General features: G+C 41.0%; 1 protein-coding gene and 1 long non-coding RNA gene across 2 annotated transcripts in view, besides 3 other annotated features; one reads left to right on the forward strand and one right to left on the reverse strand.

The window, feature by feature from the left end:
- The window catches only part of TBX18 (T-box transcription factor 18), a 32,103-nt gene extending 19,438 nt beyond the window's left edge, over nucleotides 1–12,665 (reverse strand). The window contains exons 1-4 of the mRNA NM_001080508.3: nucleotides 11,957–12,665; nucleotides 10,611–10,815; nucleotides 8,322–8,423; nucleotides 4,765–4,936 (exon numbers count right to left, since the gene is read on the reverse strand). Of these exons, the coding sequence (NP_001073977.1) occupies nucleotides 4,765–4,936; nucleotides 8,322–8,423; nucleotides 10,611–10,815; nucleotides 11,957–12,248 (771 nt within the window). The 5' untranslated portion in view covers nucleotides 12,249–12,665. The remainder of the gene's footprint in view (nucleotides 1–4,764; nucleotides 4,937–8,321; nucleotides 8,424–10,610; nucleotides 10,816–11,956) is intronic.
- LOC124901353 (uncharacterized) lies at nucleotides 10,408–19,157 on the forward strand. Its single transcript, XR_007059666.1, has 2 exons — nucleotides 10,408–10,553; nucleotides 17,321–19,157. It is a non-coding gene; the product is annotated as an uncharacterized LOC124901353 (long non-coding RNA).
- Nucleotides 11,398–11,982: an enhancer, noted in NCBI's record as "H3K27ac-H3K4me1 hESC enhancer chr6:85473049-85473633 (GRCh37/hg19 assembly coordinates)". NCBI's record gives its function as "activates a minimal SCP1, AML or CMV promoter by ChIP-STARR-seq in naive H9 embryonic stem cells {active_cell/tissue: H9 hESC(naive)}" and the evidence as "EXISTENCE:reporter gene assay evidence [ECO:0000049][PMID:30033119]".
- Nucleotides 11,983–12,566: an enhancer, noted in NCBI's record as "H3K27ac-H3K4me1 hESC enhancer chr6:85473634-85474217 (GRCh37/hg19 assembly coordinates)". NCBI's record gives its function as "activates a minimal SCP1, AML or CMV promoter by ChIP-STARR-seq in naive H9 embryonic stem cells {active_cell/tissue: H9 hESC(naive)}" and the evidence as "EXISTENCE:reporter gene assay evidence [ECO:0000049][PMID:30033119]".
- Nucleotides 12,578–12,872: an enhancer, noted in NCBI's record as "tiled region #2176; K562 Activating non-DNase unmatched - State 1:Tss". NCBI's record gives its function as "activates a minimal TATA promoter and a strong SV40 promoter by Sharpr-MPRA in K562 cells {active_cell/tissue: K562}" and the evidence as "EXISTENCE:reporter gene assay evidence [ECO:0000049][PMID:27701403]".
- Nucleotides 19,158–20,327: the final 1,170 nt, after the last annotated feature.

Below are 20,327 nucleotides of genomic sequence, written 5' to 3' on the forward strand. Positions count from 1 at the left end.
AAATAGAACCAGGAGAACCACTGGTCGTATAAACAAGAAGACCACAATGATATGATGCCCATCTCCAAAACACAAATAATTCCAAATAATTCTATGTGATGTGTAATGTTCAGTGCTCTCTGATCTGTTTAGAATGATTATTTTCTTTTGGGTTTAGCTAGTATTACAGTCACAGAAGTCCATAAATACAGACTGCATTTGCAGTACAGGCTAATACACATTTTTCTACTTTAAGGACACCTAGATTTGAGTCAAAAAAAAAAAGCATAATATTGTTTATTTCTCATCTGATGAGTCGAAAGAGCCTGAGATCTGACAGAAAGGCAACTGTGTCTAGTCTTACAGGATAGCTCAATAAGAAAACACTCCCTGCTGACTGGAAATTTTCCAGATGACCTAAATTCCCATGATGTAATAAGTCAATCAAAGGACCAACAAGAAACAGATAACAAAAACCTTGCTCCCTACATTTTTTGGTAACACCACGTACTGACTCCCTTTAAATGGTAGGAATCAAGGCTGTAACAATGAATCACAAACTCCATAGCAAGGTAGCCTTCTTTTTGTTTTACGCATGATGCTGTATATAATGGACTCTTTACAAATACGTCCTTTCGAGTTCATCAGCTCATTTAGTTCACCCTAAGTTCTCTGATTCCAATATAACCCATGAGAAAAATCAACCCTCAGAGAATGAAAGTGACTTGCCAACAAACACAAATGTGTCATACCTCTAAGTAATTGCAAGGTCCTTCCACCAGGGAGACCTCAGCAACCTCCCCTATAACTTGCTGCTTCCACACCTGATTCTCAAGGAGAAACAGAAAGAGTGAAGGCATCAGTATCACTGAGTCCTCAGCAGCTGGGAGTACAGGTCTTCCCACAGGTCCCACTGTGGCTGTCTGGCCATGCTTCCTTCCAAAGCGCCACAGCACCGTGGGTACAAATCCTTCTGAGGCTTAAGGTACACCACTACCTGCTAAATGTCCTCTAATTTTTAATAAAAATGGTCAACTACATGTTTTCCCTCAGATGGAAAATTCCAGAGGAATTGGGAAACATGTACATGATGGGAAGGAATTACCCTACTCAAGCATACTAACTCTTCTGCATATGGGTAGCTCAAGGACCAGTCTTCATTTGTATAAAAGCCAGCATAAAGCTCGCTATGGATTCACCAAGGATCAGGAAGAGATTAAGGTCTTCAAAACATCCAAAAATTAGCTGTGGAGTGCTGGAACATTTCCACTCTGGAATTTCACCACTATTCCTCTCCAAATAATTCATGATATTTGAACAACTGAAAAGTCACTTTTGGCAAAACCTCAATGTCACATCATCTCATGTCTCATGTGCTCCTACGTCCAGTCAAAGCACTGCAAAGATTTGATTCCTGCAATCATTTTGTGTTAAATTAATAAAGTCCCAGGTCTCTAAGGAGTTCTCAAGTCACTATGCTGCACACTTGCACAGACTTGGCAGAGTAAAACTAGGAACTGAGAAGAGAAAAAAAAAAAGCAATTTAGAAAGCAAGCTAGAAAATCACCTCTCATTTGAGTCAATAGCTTTACTAATTAGAGATCAGTGTTACTTCTTTTGGAATTGAGGGCTGAGGGTGGGCAGGGGCAGATGGGATGAACCTCAACTATGTAAGGGTAGAGGGGTAAGTTCCCAAGAGGTCTCTGCATCAGCAAAGGGACTTGAATTAGAAAGTCCTACTATAACAATACTACTGTCTTCTTATACCCTGAACACAATCAACAATAAAATCAGAAACAAATTCCTAATATTTAATCTAGCCTCATTTAGGGTCATCAAGCTGAGTAAATAAACAGATTCTTTCTTCATAAAGCCTTTCCCATCTTTCCTGGCTGGAATACGGTGACACTGGCATCTGTACTTCTCTGAGCTGGCAGGATGATAATCTGTGTTCATGGTTTCTTCTCTCCCCACATAGGCTAGAAACTCACAGAAAGCAGAGATCATGGCTTTTATCTTATTTTTTATTTTTTGAAGCAGAGTCTCACTCTGTCACCTGGGTTGGAGTGCAGTGGCATGATCTCAGCTCACTACAACCTCTGCCTCCTGGGTTCAAGTGATTCTCCTGCCTTAGCCTCCCAAGTAGCTGGAAGTACAGGCAAACACCACCACGCCTGGCTAATTTTTGTATTTTCAGTTGAGATGGGGTTTCATCATGTTGGCCAGGCTGGTCTCAAACTCCTGACCTCAGGTGATCCACCTGCCTCGGCCTCCCAAAGTGCTGGGATTACAGGCATGAGCCACCATGCCCAGGCCAAGCCACCGTGCCCAGCTTTGCATCTTTTACCATACTGGATAACATCTTCCGAAGTATCTTTTCTAAATGAATAATGGAAAAGAGCACTTTCCCTCCTACATCCTCCTCTAGTATCAAGTAATACGTACGTACATTTTTACCATTACCAAAGGCAATTCACTTGCTTCCAAATTGTACAAGTACATCTCTCTCCCTGCTCCCCACATGTTAATGTACCTGTATTTATTCAACTAGTACATCCTGCTACAACCTTAAAAGAAAAATTTCAGCAGTTAGACAATATACATCTCTATATTTTGCCTATTTTCTGCTATGTTATTTATTTCCCTAATAGTAAAATATTATAATTATTTAGGTTTAAGTAACTGAATTTCATTTGTAATCTATTATTTTGTGTTTTAAACAAATGCTATGTGACAGTTAATCTTATGTGTCAAATTGGCTATGCCACAGTACCCAGATACTTGGTCAAACACCAGTCTGGATGTTGCTGCCAGGTATTTATTAGATGAGATCAACATTTATATCAGCAGACTTTGAGAAAAGTGGACTACCCTTCATAATGTGGGTAGGCTTCATCCAATCAGTTGAAGACTGTAGGAGAAAACAGACTGAGATCCCTGGAGAAGGGGGAATTCTATTACAAAACTACCTTCACACTCAAGCTGCAACATCACTTCTTCCCTAGGTCTCCAGGTGGCTGTGCAGATTTCGGACTTGTCAGGACCCAAATTTTCCTGGGTAAGCTCCTTAAAATAAATTGTTCTCTCTGTGTCTGTTTTTCTCTCTTTCTTTCTCTCTCCCTCTCTACACACGCACACACACAAACACGCACACACCCTATTTTCTGAAGAATGCTGCTTTAAATAAAGTCTATTGAAATCATAAAGTTAATATATAGATTGATAAATTACTAGATCTATATCTAATATTTAGTACATTAGATATTAGATAGAAAACCAGTAATTTGAACGGAAAGAACTAGAACTGTAAAATGATTATATTGATTTAAATTATTAAGAAGTTTATAACTTATACATGAAGGTATATAGTTTTTATCCCCACTTATCTCTTTAGAGCATACATTCTTTAAACTGTAGAACTCACAAAAAATGGTAGTGTACTTAAGGTTTTGATAACAAGTAACACTAAAAACATTGTCTAAAATGTTCTATTCCAAAAAAAAGTCCTTCAATGAATGTGCTGAGTATATTTCACAGACAGCTGCCTCAGCGACACAGAAGAAATCGGTGTTATTTCACTGAATTCCTGTGAAAAATAATTGTTACAACTTGACTGTGTTAAATTGTAAAAATAAGGAATAAAAATAAGGAAAGCCAAGGAGTAATGCACTAAAATACAGGACATGAAGTTGGGTACAGAAAAGAAATCTACTATGTTACTTTTTTATTTCCATTTTAAGTCATAAAAGGCAACAATCAAGAAACAAAAACACTGGCGGTGTGAGATCTTACTAGTTGCATCTTAAAAATCCACCTACTGCATTTGTATCACAGTGAAATTAGTACTGGAATGTTCTCATTAAGGTCAATTTCTTAAGACATTGTTTAGCAACTTCCAAACCATATCCTGTCATCACTATATTATTAGTTTATGACAACTTACATTTTGTTTTAAAAGATATTCTCATAAATATGCTATCTTTATATCACTCCTTTGAGAAATAAACAAGTTGGTATTTCTTTTATGTATGATATATTCTTCGAAAGGCATTTTAATCCTGCCTCAATCAAAACTATCTTAAATAACAGAAACCTAATTTTAAAAATGCTGGCTTTGAACAGAAATCAGCATGTATCCAGTTACTTATTTATTAAAATAATAGTGTAGAAATCTTGCCTGGGAACAATACTGCATAAAAATTACTAAGGTGTTAAAAATGACTGCATTATTGGAACGGCTGAACTTTGACTTATGTATCATGTTTCAGCAGTTTTAAGAATAAAAGGAATGATTGTTGTAACATTTTGACACATTAGATGTCATTACAAAACAACTGGGAACTTGCAGATGGAACACACAAACAGCATAAGCCTAGACAATTACTGAGAAGCAATGAACCTCAGCTGACAAAGCTGGATGCAGGCAGGACACAATAAATCATTATCCTTATTAACCCAACTCCAAAGTATTCATATTCACAGTATAATAATTAGCACCTCAAGAGATTTCACACAAATGTTTTGCCTAACAACATCTCTGCTTCCAGTACTTTCAGTCCAATAAAAATGCAGTATCTAGTTTTAACCTATTAAATGCCTCATCGGATAATTCTGGCAACAGGCACAGTCTATGCAAATATAAACTTGATTCTGCAAAGACAGTGTACATACTAATCAATCAGGCAATGAACATTATGATCTTAGAAGCATTCATTTCCTTTAGTCAGGCACAGTGTAGATGTGGCTGTGCCATCTACAGATGCATTAGAGAGGCCATCTACTCACATGGCCTTGGTCATCCAGTTCATTGTTGGTGAGCTTCAGCTTGTCGAAGCTGATAACTTGTCTCATCCAAGTCTCCCCCGAGGCAGGCGAGTCTGGATGAATGTACACACGGGGTGGCACAGGCGAGTCAGCATTACCTGCCACCATCCATTTCGAACTGTGGTAAACATACCTAGAAGGCAATGACCAGGCGTTCAGTATACTGTTTTTATCTTGGCATGTCCAACTCAGTAGAATCAGACAAAATGTGTGCCTATTTTGTTTCAGTTTTAAAATAAATCAATTTCCTCTTTACACTAAAAATAAAATTTCAAGCGCTTTTCCAAACCACTCTGAGGCAGCAGTGGCCTACTGACAATTCAGACTAAGGGGCGTGTTAACGGCTTAGTGAAAAATATGCATACTATCACCACCATAAATGCAAGCATATTCATTCTTATGAATGACACTTATTCACCCTAGACATTCCATCTCTGATATTTTCCACTTTTCTTCTGAATATTCCATCGACACGAAAAAACAAATAGCTTGTCAAGTTCACCTTTAAGTAAATCTCAAAAATACTTGAGAGTTACATTTTAAAATGCCCCGCTTCCTTCAAGATCATTTCTGATGTTAGACTATGTAAAGGCTTATGGAACAGACAGTAGAAAGGCAAGAGGAAATAGTCAGAAGTTCTAGAAACTTTTATTTTAATAGGAAAAAATGTTTTATCTGTTATCATTTGGTATTTTTTCTAATACTATGATACTATATATTGAGGACAAAGTATTCAGTTTAATTGGAAAATTTTGTATTATCATAAAATGTAGCCCCTTATTCATCTCCTATATTTCTTTCTTGATCCTTATAAAAAATTCTTTCAAATCATTTTTCAAATATTGCTAACCAAAAAATAAACTTTGAAAATAATGGTATATCTAATTAATATTACTTTTCTAATTAGGAAACAAAACATCCTTTCTATTTCTTTACATGACAAATATATTGACTCAGTAAGAATAATACATTTGAATAACAATGCCTCAAGTAAGAAATATTAATATTTAACTATATTAAGATTACCATTTATTAATAATTTAAAATAAGCTAATTAAAAAACTAGAAACTAGTATAACAATGAAGAAAAAATTATAAAATAAAATTATATACTTAGATATTTTCCTTCCATTTGTGTGTTAAGATTAGCATACAATTTAAAGCTATAATTTGCAAATAGTCTCAGAAAAGTCTACCTGTGTTATATACACATTTCTTTTTATAAGAGCATAAAATATTTTCAGAACGTCTCTGATGAGGCCCTTTGTTTCAATTCTTTGTCACATATTTCATTTTGGGCTCAATATGCCTTCTAGTCTTTCATTTCTTTTCTTGGGAAAACATATACAATCATAAAATTAGGGATAGTCTTTCAGAAATCTTCCTTTAGGCCAGAGGCGGTGGCTCATGTCTATAATCCCAACACTTTGGGAGGCTGAGGTAGGCGGATCACGAGGTCAGGAGTTCGAGATCAGGCTGGTCAACATAGTGAAACCCCAGTCTCTACTAAAAATACAAAAAGTTAGCTGGGTGTGGTGGGGAGTGCCTGTAATCCCAGCTATTCGGGAGGCTGAGGCAGGAGAATGGTTTGAACCTGGGAGGCGGAGGTTCCAGTGAGCCGAGATCACGCCATTGTACTCCAGCCTGGGCAACAGAGCAAGACTCCATCTCAAAAAAAAAAAAAAAGAAAGAAAGAAAAAGAAACCTTTTTCTTTTAAGTGGTATGATGTAATTTCAATAAGTTCCTAATTGTGGGCTTTTGTGAATATTAATTTTACATTCTAATAAGTGACAATAATTTTTAACTTGATTAAATACCACTCAAACATTAGAAAATAAGCCAAATTTTTTCCTAATATTGCTGAAAACATTGACAAATGAAATGAAAATCTTAGAGATTCAAGAAAAATTACACTGTGGAAATGAATTGAGTTACTGCCAAAACAAATAGAGTAATAGGCTCTAACAAAACCTTGAAAAAGTATGCATTTTGAATAGTCAAAACTCCACACCCACTGACAGAATAAAAGCTACAAGTTACACATTCTTTGTAAAACATTCTAAATACAAATAGTACAAACAAATTTCTTCTTGGGAAGCAATATAAGTGAAAACAAATTATGTTTTACAATTTGATCTTTTAAAACCTGACATCTTAATACTAATTTCTGAAATGTCTTTATTTCTATGAGAGTAAATTTGAATCAATTAAGTAAAATAAACCAACCAAAATGTAGGGAAGACATTGGGAAAATAAATAGGAGACAAACTTAGAAGAAAAAGGAATAATTATTAAGCTTATTAAGAATTATATTATCTTCCTCAGCACAAAACCCCATTTGGAATATGGGTTTTAAATCAAGTATATTTAAAAAATGAACTTTAATGTTTTCTAGCTTCTGTCATGTGGTAGATCATTTTAGCAAAACTCCCTAATGACTTATTTAATTAAAATAACTTATACACAAAACAAATAATAAGACTGTCTTTTTTATTACCCCTTTCTGTAGTATTCTATATGTCCATGTACTAACTAAAATCTGTGTACTTTTGATACCAGTAGGCTATTTCAAAAAAGCGACTCCTTAAATTGTTGAAGTGATAAAAAACAAATCTGATTTTGTTTAAACTTACTAAAAGCTCTGTCCCATGCAACAACAAAAAGCGAGAAAGAAACGAAGACAAGCAAAATTTAAAACAGTATCTTCGAATCTTCCAAACACATAAAACTTCCTTATTTAAATGTTAATGTTTTTAGCTCTTCAGAAAAATATAAAGCATTGTCACTGAAAATTGCTGATTTGTTTTCTTGCAAAAAAAAAAAGAGTAAAGATTGGTTTGAAACTGAAGAACGTGTATATTTTCAAAATTTACTTGATCTTTACATAAATATGTCCTCTTTCAAAATCCAAATATTAGAAGTTTTTAAAAGTTATAACACATACCAAAAAAACAACAGAAAGGTAAAAATTTATTACCAGTTTAGTGATGTCTTAATATCACATAAATTAGAAGATTTTTATTTTTCTTACTTGTAGAAAACCTTAAATAATATTCTGAAATTAAAAAAAAAGCCTACAAACATTGATGGTTTTGTATGTAACAAGATAAAGGAAATTTACATGACCAAAAGATCACAAAGAAATTATGACTTTCCATTTAATATAATTTATATCTATAAACATTACATAACATTTCCTCTCAAAATTCGAATTGAAGTGTAAGTCAATATAAAAGACACATTTAGTTTGGCAACACCAAATTATCCCCTTTAAAAAGTTCTCAGTATTTGAAAACATTTCTCTATCTATTAAAAACAAAACAAAAATTAAGTTTCCACATTTGCCGCAAGAAAAGGCACCATCTGGGCCGCTGGCACCCATGGGCGTTAAAGTATGGATCTGGAAATTCTACAGACTTCTGGAAGCAAAGATCACAGTCCTCACAGATCAAACAGGCACTAGCCTGCAAAATCCTAGTGTTTTTTTTTTTAATTGTTCAGTATCTAATCACTGTACCTGTATCTTTTGTTGTCCACTGGTACAATATCCATGGCAATGTAATATTGCTGGTGAGGATCTAATCCAGAGATCTTCACTCTCATTGCTGGAAACATGCGCCTATTTAAAAAGGCGAAGAGAAAGAGGGTTTGGGGTTTTTGTTTGTGACTAAGGATGGAGCGTGAATAAGCAAAGAAACCTCTTGGATCTCTATTTTTAATATGGATAAATTTATAGTATTCACTTTGCCAATGTAATTCAAGGAGTCAGGACATAGAACATATCAGAACTGAGATTTTTAAATGTAATTTGTTGCACCCTGTGTACATGTGTTCTGTGTTTACTGAAATGTCAGTATAGCTAAAAGTAAAATAATTTTACACTGAGGGAGTAATGGCACAAAAGAAAGCATCTTATTTTTTAAACAAAATCGATAAGCATATTTACTTTAGTAATACAACTAATAAAATGTAACAAATGGTAGAAATACAAAATTTGGATCTCTGAAAGTGATAAAATACATTATAATGTGAAATTTTTAAAGGGTTATAAAAAACCACAAGGAGCCAATGTGCCATGCTATAACCAAACAATATGTTCTTTATTGAGACAGGACTTCCTGTCTGCAGCATGGTAAAGGTGAAGTGCAAAAGTTGCTCTAAATTTGAAAGGTATAGTAAAACTTCTTTATTGAAAGCAGAAACTAAACACAACGTATATTTACCAAATCATTTCTTCCCCCGCCATACCATGAAAATGTTTTCTTACTTAACCACACTTAAAACTTTGCTAATTAAAACAGATGAAAATTTGCATTTATCCTGGCTTCCCAAAGATGCATATCAAAGGAGATGCTAGAGTAAATGCACCCATCCTTTTAAAAAGGCACAGCAGCAAAGAATACAACAGTAAATTATTGTATATAAAAAACAAATACAGCAGTTTGATTTTTAAATATCATTTAATGACTTACGTTTAAGTCCCTTCCAAGGAAATCTAATTTTTGTTAATTTAACCTTATAACAGAAATTTTAGTAGTTATTTACCAAATTTTTTTCTATAACAAAAATACCATGAAAGACTACTCCTAGAAAAAAATAAAGTCTATTACTCCTAACTAGGTATGGGAACAGTTTAATACGCTGGCTGTTTTAGTATTATTTCAGTGCACCTGTAAGATAAAGAGTAAAGGTCTTTAACTACATCCTTTATAAGACAACTATTGCTTTGTGTTGGTGAAGACTGAATTTGGATCATTAATAAAAGCTCTGTGAAAATGTAGAAGGTAGCATATGGATTCAATAAAATATGTTTTTTTGTAATTTCTAATAAGTTTGGATACTTTTTATGCTATCCAGGTTTTTACCATGTGTACTCCCTGAAAGAGTTGTGTGTGCTTTCTAAAGTTCCGTTTAAGGAAGCTTATTATTCATAGATTTCACTGCACTAAATAAACTGAAAACTTTAAAATGCAAATATTCATGTGCCTACCTCAAATTAATATGATCTGCCCAACAAATCCATTTATTTTACTAACCAATGGATGGGAAAATTTCACACTTTTTAAAAAACCGATGTACCTTTTTATAAAAAATTTTTAAGTATTCCTCAGCAAATTCAGGCTGTGTTGGATTCCATTTAGGACAAAAATAAATAAATAAATAACCAGGTACTCTAAATCTATAAACAGGATGCTTTTTAAAAATCAGGGTAATTATTCTTGCACCTATACATGATTAAACATGTATTGTGGGTGAGTCCAGTGACTTTTCCTCCTAGTCTAATATGAAATAGCAGGACAGATCATCTTATCAAATTGCCAGGATATCTTCTGATAAAGAACCAATCTGCCTGGGAGTTTCAAATCTGAAAAAGCAAATCATAGTTTACTGGAGTAAACTGCTGTTTAAAAATAAAAGAGAAAGGAAAAAAAAAAGAATGTTTCCTAGTTCCAGAACTGACAACTAGAGCCTAAATAAATACCTGGACAAGGGTAAATATGACCTCAAATTTATAACCGCCCTGAACGCAGAACATCAACCGCGACAGCTGTGGCATCAGCGGCGACAGTAATTTTCTCCCTGGCATTCAACCAGAGGGCAGTTGGACTGTGCACCGACTGCACTAGTGGTGGGTAGCCAAAGCTAGCCTCCAAAGTGAACCACGGTCTGGGGCCTGGTCCCGTTTGACCGAAAATGCTATCCAGAACCCCCACCGAGCTGCAGGCCCTTCTTCCTGATTGAGCTAGAGGTGAGTGAAGACAGGGTCTGGGGTAGGGAGGGGCGTCCACGCCAGCTTGCCCATTACCTGCCGGCCTTGGTGATGATCATCTCAGTGCCTATCTCATGAAAGCGCTTCCAGAGCTCGGCTCCCTGCAGATCCACCCGCGGGGCCTGCGGCGAGGGCAGAGGGGTCCCGGGCCGGGCCAGGGAGCGCGCCGGAGACCCCTTGGGGGAGCCTCCCGGTGACGCCAGAGGGGAAGCTCCCTGCTGGAAGCCGTCCTCACAGCCGCCTGGACAGCAAAGGACAGAGAAAGGGAACTGGTGAGGGAAACAGAGGGGAAGCCAGCCGCGGAGACGGGCCCACCTGGTGGCTGAGAAGAGGAAAATGACCGGGAGAAAAGGGGAAGCTTTGGTGCCATCAGGTCCTCCTAAAGAACAAGCCAGTCGATAGACACCCACATTCTGCCTGTCGAAGGGGCGCATTCAGAGCTCCAGTGTGGCCTGCTTGGTCCCCAAGTCCCAAGCCCGGGAGAGGCGCGCGGGCAGCGTCCACCCCACCCGCTGGGCCTCCGCAGGGCCAAGGCCCCAGCAGAAAAGGCTTCACGCCGCCGCCGGGGTCTGGGACGCTTGCCCGACGGAGTCAGAGGAGCTCCCGGGTCCAGAGTCCCCAGTGCAAACTCCGACGCAACCTGCGCCTCGAAGCGCAAGCAGCAAAAGCGCCCGGACTCTGGTCCCAAGAGCCTGGGCCTCCTTAAGCCATAAGCGTCTGCGGCGCCTCGCTTTGGGCCTTCTTTTGGGCCGGGCCGGAGGCATCTTCTAGAAGGCTCTTCAGACCCCGCTTTCGCCAAACTCCCGGCGCCCTGCGCTTCCAGCCCAGCAGAGAAAAGTGTGAAAAGCAAGCCCGCGGTCGCCGTCGGCCTTGGCAGAGAAATCAAGAGGAGAAGGGAAGGGAACCGCTCAACTACCCTTCGGGAAACCAAGTTTCCAAATATGCCGCCCTCTTCCTGGTTTGCACAAACGGTTTAGGGCATTCGTTCCGGTTTCAGGGTGGGGTATGCCGTCGCTCCCCTCCTCCCCGCCCTGTGCTTTTAAAAGTTAGGAAACAAAAAAGAGCACCCATTGGCTGGAACCCCAAGGGAGGCAGATGCAGGAAGCACAGAGCTGCACCGCTAGGCGCAGCAAACAGCCGCGGCCGAAGGCGCGGGTCGCCGAGTGGGCGGCGGCCGCCCGCGAGGCGAGCCTGGAAGCAGTATCTGAACCGTCTGGAGGGTGACCAGGTTGCGCGGCGAGCTTTGCGACTGACACGGCCAATGCGCTAGTGGCTGAGTGGCCTTGGCCATGTAGGGACGCGGCGCGCACGCACACCCACAGACTCGCAGAAGTTCAGGTTCGCGCCGGAGAGAAGTTATAGGCAGGAAGGGGCCCACTCACCCGCGGCTCCGCGCTCCAGGTCTGCGCCACTCCGAGCCGGCCCAGACGTCGCCCCAGCCGGCGGCGGGAGCGCAGCGCCTTCGTCTCCCTCAGAAGAACCCTTTTCGCCCGCGCCGCCGCCGCGGCTGCAGCCTCCGTCGTCCACGGCCCCCGCCGCCTCTTCGGCGCCCAGTTTTCGCCGCTTCTTCTGAAGCTGTTGCTGCTTCTCGGCGCCGATCAGCGCCTCCACCGAGAAAGCGTGCGCCTTGAGGCTTAGCATGCTGCACGGCGAGCCCCTTCGCTTCTCGGCCATCCCCCCCGCCCCGCGCCCGCCCGCCCCTCTCTCATATACACTCACGCGGGCACACGCGCGCTCTCGCTCTTCCCCCACCAAAAACTAAAAGGCTCTCGGGGCCTCCCGAGATCTGCCCCCTTCCCCACCGCGGGCAAAAAACAGATTTGGCGTTTCCGCTTTCTCGCTTGTGTTGGGATCCAGGAACCGGCGACGCGCCGGCCAAGTCTCCTTTCCTGGGTCTCTCTCGCGCGCTCTCTCACTGATGCACTCCTTTGCTCCCACCCCTTCCACCTCCTCCTGCTGCTCCGAGGTCTGCCTCAACTGATGCGCCAGAGAGGACTAACATGGGTAAAAAACACTCTGTGGACACAAATTAGGGATTGTAATTGAAATTTGTTGCCTTGATCTGTCAGCACTTCCAGGCAGGAGAGCGGTGGGAAGAACTTGCTCATTAGTGTCAATAAAGCGGCGGGGGCGGAGCCCGGGTCCCTGTCCATCACCCAGACGGCCGGCCAATCAGGAGGCGCCGACTCCGCGCAGCCCGCGCCCACTTCCTTACAAGGTAGCGAAAAACCAGGAGTGAAAAGCGCCGCTGTCTGGCTTGGATGTGCCAGCCACACGGACGCTGAACTCTGTCTCTCTGACGTCCGTAGCTGAGTCCAGCCCCGTAGTCTCCAGCTTTCCTCACCAGGACCTGGAAAGGCGGAAGTTCCCGGCTTTAAACTAGACGTTCAACAAGTTAGAAAATCAGGAATCTTTCAAGGTTCCGTAAATTGCCGTCCCACTTCCGTATCGCTTAATGTTGCTACAACTCAGAATATTGGGAAGCTGGGAAGAATTCGCAGGCCCCTCCTTTCTCATTTAAATGTTCCTGCACTCAGTCTGCGCCAGATATGGCTTAGGCTTATTTAAACTTTACTCCGTGATTTTTTTCTTAGGGGATACCAGGTTAAGAAATATGTAAATCCTTTAGGAGTGCAAAATGTTACGTTAACGCTCAGTCCGTCATATAAATGTCAGAAAAAGCACGCCCTTTCCGCAGCCCACCTTTTCTTTCAAAGAGTGGTAGTTATTTTAAAACGTAGGTCATGGGATTTTCATTCTGTACGTCTTTAACGATATGGACAACTTTAAAACCCCTTAAAACTTCGCAAAATGAAATAAGTATGAAGACGCAATAAAATTCCCCATTTGAAAAACTTCTCTGTGATTTAAGTAAGTTTATATTTGTCCTACTGTTGACAATTTACAATCGTTACTTCAGGCTTTTAAGGAGTCCATTGATGTATTTAAAACAAATTTAATAAAATCAGTGCTTTTTAATTAAATGACACCAAACATATATATTTGTACAATTTGTTTTGTAGTTTCAACTCGACTTTTTGTTAGGATTAACAAATATATATATATATGTTTGGTATAAATAGAGCAAATCTCTTGTGGAATAAAATTAATCGTGCATATTACTCCATCTTTTGTATAAAATACACGGCAGGCCGGGCGCGGTGGCTCACGCCTGTATTCCCAGCACTTTGAGAGGCCTACGCGGGCGGATCACGAGGTCAAGAGATCGAGACCATCCTGGCCAACATGGTGAAACCCCCGTCTCTACTAAATAAATAAATAAATACAAATAGTAGCTGGGCGTGGTGGTGCACGCCTGTAGTCCCAGCTACTCGGGAGGCTGAGGCAGGAGAATCGCTTGAACTCGGGAGGCGGAGGTTGCAGTGAGCCCAGATCGCGCTACTGTACTCCAGCCTGGCGACGCAGCAAGACTCCGTCTCTGTCTCTCTCTCTGTCTCCATATGTGTGTGTGTGTATATATATATATATATATATGACAAAGGAATTTTTTCCTCTCCCTCGTCCCTCGTTTAATTCAATCTCCGCAACCGTTGGCTGCCCTTTTATCTCTGACTTCTCTGTAAACTTTCAGTAGAGTAGCATTTGGGGGTAGATCCGCCACTGAGACTGATCCTTTTATTGTAGAAGAGAACGCGCGGTTCCTGGAGGCCGGACACCACAGCGGGAGTAGGAACCTGGCAGGCGATGAGCAGAGGCACGAGCAAGCCGCCCAGCCAAACCTGGCAGCCTTGAGGTCAAAAATGATTTTGTAATATCCTTGCGGAGGAAGCCTCTTTTAGACGCCTGAGAAACAAACTCAGTTGGGAGGAGGTGTTTTGCATTTTACAAAATGAAGGCTTTGCGACCGGTTTAGAGCTGTGTGGTCCCTAGTGGGTCTCCAAGCTCCGGGGTACCCTAGGCCGGTATTACATCATTAAAAAGAAGCGCAAATCCCATTTCTGAAGCTTAGCCGAAGGCAGGCGCCGGCAGGGAGAGCTAAGAGGCCGCCTAGAGAGTTTGGGCCGGGAGTGGGAGTGGGACAAGGCGGGAGCTAACTTAGCTGGAGTAGACGCCAGAAGAAGTTCCGTTCAGCTGAGGTGCCCCGCCCCAATCCCAGGCTCTCGGGGACCCCAAGAAGGGAGCTACCCGGTGCTTCTCCGAGCGGTCCTTACAGCTTTGGAGACTCTGCTGCTGCCCAGGGGTGTAGTCGTCGGAGCCCTCGGGCCTGCTGGGGCTCAGCAGGGGTAGTGGGAGCCCCTACCCTGGGAGAAACTGCCAGGGACAAACACTGTTTGCTGACGCAAAGCCTGTTCCGCAAAGGAGTTCTCCCTGTATATGTCCTGCAGCTCAAACTGATTTAGAAAGGGATACACAGGCCTGCAAGGCGCTCTCGGGATCATACAGCCTCACGCCCTCTTCTTTTCCTCTGCCATTTCTTTATGTCTTTCGCCTTCACCCTGGGCAGCAGACCCCAGCAGGCGGGGAAACCCGGGGACTGGTGTCCGCATTGCCGAAAGGCTGGAAAGCAGAGCCTCGTCTACATCCACGATGTTTCTAGAACGTGGCCCTTAGAAATAATTCAAGTGTGAGTAGGGCGCCGAGGACAGGACAAGGCGTTTGCCCCCTAGTCCTGCTACTGGCTAAGGAGAATCATAGCAGTAGAGCCGCACCACTGCTGCCGCCGCCTCCAACTTGCGTTAAGTTCGGCTCAGGCTACTGGATTGGGCAGGACCAGCTAACCCAGGTCCCGAGGGGCAGTGTGTCACAGACTGCAGCCCACTCCAACCTCGGCTCCTGGAGAAGGGGCGTCGAATCTCTCTTGGGCATGGGAGGGAAAGACATTCCGAGTTGGCTGGGCGGAGTGGCAGCCTTGAGAGTGACGAGTGACAGCAAAGCCTCGTCCTAGCAAGGCCTTTTACCAACAGCGCGGCATGCCCTTTCGAGGAGAGCGCCAGGCCCTCGCACTTTGCAAGTCAAGAGAGCAAAGAAAGCGGGGACAGGGCGCGTAATCGCAATGTCCGGTCGCGCGTGTGCACGTGTCTGTGTTTGCATGTGTGCGTGAGCATGTGCACCTGCTCAAGTGTAAATGTGTCTGTTGGCAGTTGGGGTCTAAGTACCTGAGAATGTGTGTCTTCTGTTGCTTTAGGAGATTAAAATGTCTTTTCCCAGTATTGAGCTACATTGAGGAAACAAAACTGAAATAAACTGTCAGGCCTCTCTCAAGACCAGCCGGATTCTATGTTAAATAAAAGTCAGCCAGAGGAGAATATTGTCAGAATGAATTAGTCTCAAGGACTTGGGGAGAGAGAGAAGGGCAAAAGATCCTTGAGCTCCCAGATCTGGGACAACGATATACAGTGGAATCCATGTCCTGCCGGACAGCAACACTAACTGGTGGGAGGGGGCGTGCAGGGGCGGGAGATGGACTTTTAAAAAGCATATCCGGTCTCTTCTTTATTTTTCTTGGTGCAGTTTAAAATTGGACAGTTCCGAAATAGTGCTTTTTTGTTGTTGTTGTTTTAAACTCATTCTCTGTCGGCTTCCACTCTGCTTTTTAGCCTGGAGCCTGTTTACATAGCATTGATACATGGCCAGTTGTGTATAGTTTGCTATTTCATCTTACCTGATTTATAAGATACTTACATTTTATTTATAAACAATTGTTTCTTTTTTAAGTTATAATTGTTAAAGCTCTATGCGTCCGGTCTTCATTCCTTCGAAAGATTGATTTTTTTTCTTTTACACTTGACACTCGCTGTATTTAACCCCTATATTTAATTTCTCAGACTCGATAAGGTAAGCCCTGAGTCTGTTCAGACAAGAATCTGTTCTTTGCCCCTGATCTCAGGGCACATCAAATGGTCCCCGAGTCTCCAAATAATCCGGACCCAGACTTCTTTGCCACACATAGAGAAGTTTATTATTAGTAAAAGATGAAGTGAGCTAGAAGCAGAAATGGGACGGAGAGTATGGGTGGGCAACGGCCAAATCCAAACACCAAGAGGGGTACTTATTTGGCTGCGTTCCTCTATAGTTTAATCTGGGAAGGAGCCATAGCCTAATTGGAGACCGTGAACATCAGCCTACGCTGAGTCACCAGGCAGCGCCGCACAAATGGGCTAGGGCTTCCCCTTTCCGCGATTCCTGTCCCTACTCTTTCCCACTCTCTTTCTTCTCTTTGCACATACTTTTCTTCTCGCCTCTCCTTCGGATCTGCGTTAATGAAAATATTTTATCTTGTACAAGTTTATAAAGCCTACGGTAGTAAATTCAGGCGTCCCAGGGCTCAAGGACTGCACTCTTGCGGATTTCTCTGCCGGGTCTGGTGCTGCAGATGCAAACCCAGGCCCCGTGAACAAAGCGATCCGGAGCTGCAATTCCTCCCTGCTCACTCCTGTGGCTGACTTGCACGCACAGACATCGCCTCCCCACTTGTTGGCGACTGTTTTCCATTCTTCCCCCAACAATTCGTCCTTCTCAATTCCGATTAGCTGAGACTGAAGCCCTCTACAAAGGACCTGTGCAGCCCACGGAACAACTCCGCAGTTCTCAGGTAGAAGAATCAGAATCAGGTCTGAGCCCGCGGAGTATCTCTTTAAGCGCTGATTTTTTAAAATCAATGATCGTTTCTCATTGGGGCTCCAGGGAGGTGCTCGGTTTCTGGAGTGTCAAATGAGAGTATACTCCCAGGGTAAGCTTGTCTTCATTCCTCTCTCTCTCCACCCCCCCGCCCCCCCGTTTTCCAGCTTGGAGAAAGGAAGGGGAGAAGGGGTCTTCTGGCCCACCAAGTCGAGGGACATTGAGGAAGTAATGAATCTGTGATGCGTCCAGAAGAAAATTCACCCTCTGGGAAAATGAGCTTCCGTATTCATGCTTGGTGTATCTCCAGCAGTATCTGCTCTACCTCCAAACAACACTGCAATTATTTTTTTTCACCCCGTGGGTGAAAAACCGCTGCCCTATCTCCCTCATTTATTGACTCACACTCCTCCCACAAAACTACAGTGTTGAGGGATCAGTAACAGAAATGTTCAAGAAGGCCACACTTGTCTTTATCACTAATATGTGACATGTAAGATGGCTTGAAGGAAGTACTGAAATTAACACCCAGATGTAAAAGAATACCCGAAGATGCCTAGCTGGACATTGCTAATACCAACATTGCAACAGATCAATTTGGACATAAAGCAAACTATTCAATAGGGAAGCTAACTAATATTCTCTAATTAGTTATAATGAGCATTTTAATAGTCTATGCTGTATAAAAACATGTTTAAATTGATATTTAAAATACACAGCTTCCTATTCTTTGAATTAAATATTTAATGTTATTTTTCCTTATAGACAAAAAGTTACCTTGAGTCTGCTGGTTTTACAAAATGAATTGAAAATGGAAATAAATGTTCCCGTTTAGGCCCCATTTAAGAGTCACTAGATTTAGTGTTTAGCTTTTAATAAAAATTATTGCACCCTCTAATTGGCTGTAAATTAGGTCCTGTTCTCATATTTTACATCTGTAGATACCGACAGTTCTTAAACAGTGGAAATTTTGTGCACATTCATATAATCTGCTGAAAGTATAAACAATGAAAAACGTGGCTGGAATTTATTCATATTTTTGTACTGACAGATGAGGCATTTCAGTTTCAGCTGAATGAAAGGATTTTTAATGGATTAATTTAAAGCCAGCACTGGAATTATGCAAAAAGAAATATGCTATTGAAAAATTAAAAAAAGTATTAGCATTAGGAATGAACCCTGCATTTAAACACATGAGCAAAAGTTTGACAAGAAGTTATGACTTTTCAGCATGACTTTTGGTTTGGTTTTGTCTTCACTTTAAATTGCGTAAACTATTGTGTCCTTTAAAAAGTGTATCATAAACAATTAAGAAAAAATAAAAAAAATGAAACAGCTTAGGGTTTTTCCCACTTCAATATAGAATTCTTAAAATTTATTTCAAATACAATAATCATACTGGAATATATTTCCAAGCTGAATTTTCAGAAATAGTCAAACGAGAATCCTCAAGTAAAAGGCTAAAGAGTAGTCATCATGAGAGGAACTCTACCAAAACACTTAACATGTTTTGGAATTTCCAAATTCAGTCACATGAAGAAAAGGGAATGGAAAAAAAAAAAACCTATCGCAGGCCATGCATAACAGGTGATGTAAATTTAGAATAACTAGCATTTCTAGAAAGTCTTGTGCTTTTTAATGTTCACCTCTAGTCTTCAGTGCGGGTTCCTTCTCAAATTACATAAAATGTACTTTAAGAAGCACTCACTACCTGCTACAGATGTCCAGGAAAACTGAATTATGGAAGTCGGAAACATATGGCAGTTGCCTATTGCACAAGGAAGGTACATATGAAAGTTATAAATTTCTTTCTTTAAGTCAGAATTGTAAACGCATTTTATAGGGTTCACAGTATGTATTACATCTGTAGATTTAATTTTTGAAATATATGTTTTTTGAGATATTTGTGGTTTGAGATTCTAAGATAAATAACTTATCTTGTTGTATTTTTAAAAATCAAGAAAAAAACCCTAACAAATAAAAATAAATATGTGGAGTGGCAAACATTTTTCTTTTATTTCTCAGCTTGTTATACTGAAAAGGACATCAGGCCATCTATTGGCAAATAATTACTCACAACACGGGAGGTACCTGTCAGCAGGGCGTGCTGTATATTGAATTCCCTATACGAAGAAGCAGAGATATCAATTGAGGAAAGCCAGCTTGGGGATGATATAAAAACCATCAGATTAAGATCTGGACCATGCAAATGTCAAAAACACACCAATTAAACTTGCTTTTGAGAAAAAATTCCAAGTGCTTGCTGATTTATTTTCCATCAAAATATTCAATTTATTTCATTTAACACGTTTGAAACCACATTTTGATTGCAATAATAATGTAATACTACATACTCAGTATTATCAATGGATATCAAGTACTATCAACTACCAAAACATCTTCCCTTCACCTTCAAAGTGATTAAAAAAAAATCACTCTAATTTTCTACCTGTAGCACCCTGTTATCTTTAAATTTACATTTAATTTTGTAGATTTTAAGAGTCAGAGCTCTCTTGTTTCAGTTTATTTGGAGAAATTTGTGAAGCAAGTTATCTAAATGGTCTTGGTCAAAAATGGGTTCAAACAAATAAATACCCTGAAAGTAGGCAGGTGCCTACAGGTAAGTTCGCTGTGAGTTCGCTTCAAGAAAACCATCTTTAGATTTCCATCGTGGAGGCATAGGGAAACACTCAAGATTGGTCTCCACTTTGTTGTAGAAGAATGAAACGGATTTGAGGGGAGAATAATGTAAAATTACAGCAAATGTTCCCTACCCAGGCAGAAGTTTTATTTGGTTGTGTTTTGAATTTCCCCTTTGCGATCAATCGAGTGGTCGCCAGTATTGGTTTTCTCTTCTTTCCCAGTTCCTGCTTTGCCCAGGGCTCCCCCTGGCCAGGCTTTGGATCACTTGGTCTCTGTGAGACAGTGAGGAATCGAGCGTTTCATATTATGGGTTTCCAGAAAGACGTGGGAGACGAATGAGGCGCAGAAAAACTTATCAGCTTCTTTTCCATCTGCCTCGGAAAGGTGGAAACAAGGAGAGCGCTGCAGAAATTTCTAATTTTTTTATTTTCCAAGTTTTTGTTGCTTCTTGAGCTCCTGTCCTGCCCTGTCCAGGCCATTCCACGTCCCCGTCCCCTTGTTTCCACTTATAATTAGAACTTTGTAAGGGGG

This window comes from Homo sapiens, chromosome 6 (assembly GCF_000001405.40).
Source record: "Homo sapiens chromosome 6, GRCh38.p14 Primary Assembly".
NCBI lineage: Eukaryota > Metazoa > Chordata > Mammalia > Primates > Hominidae > Homo > Homo sapiens.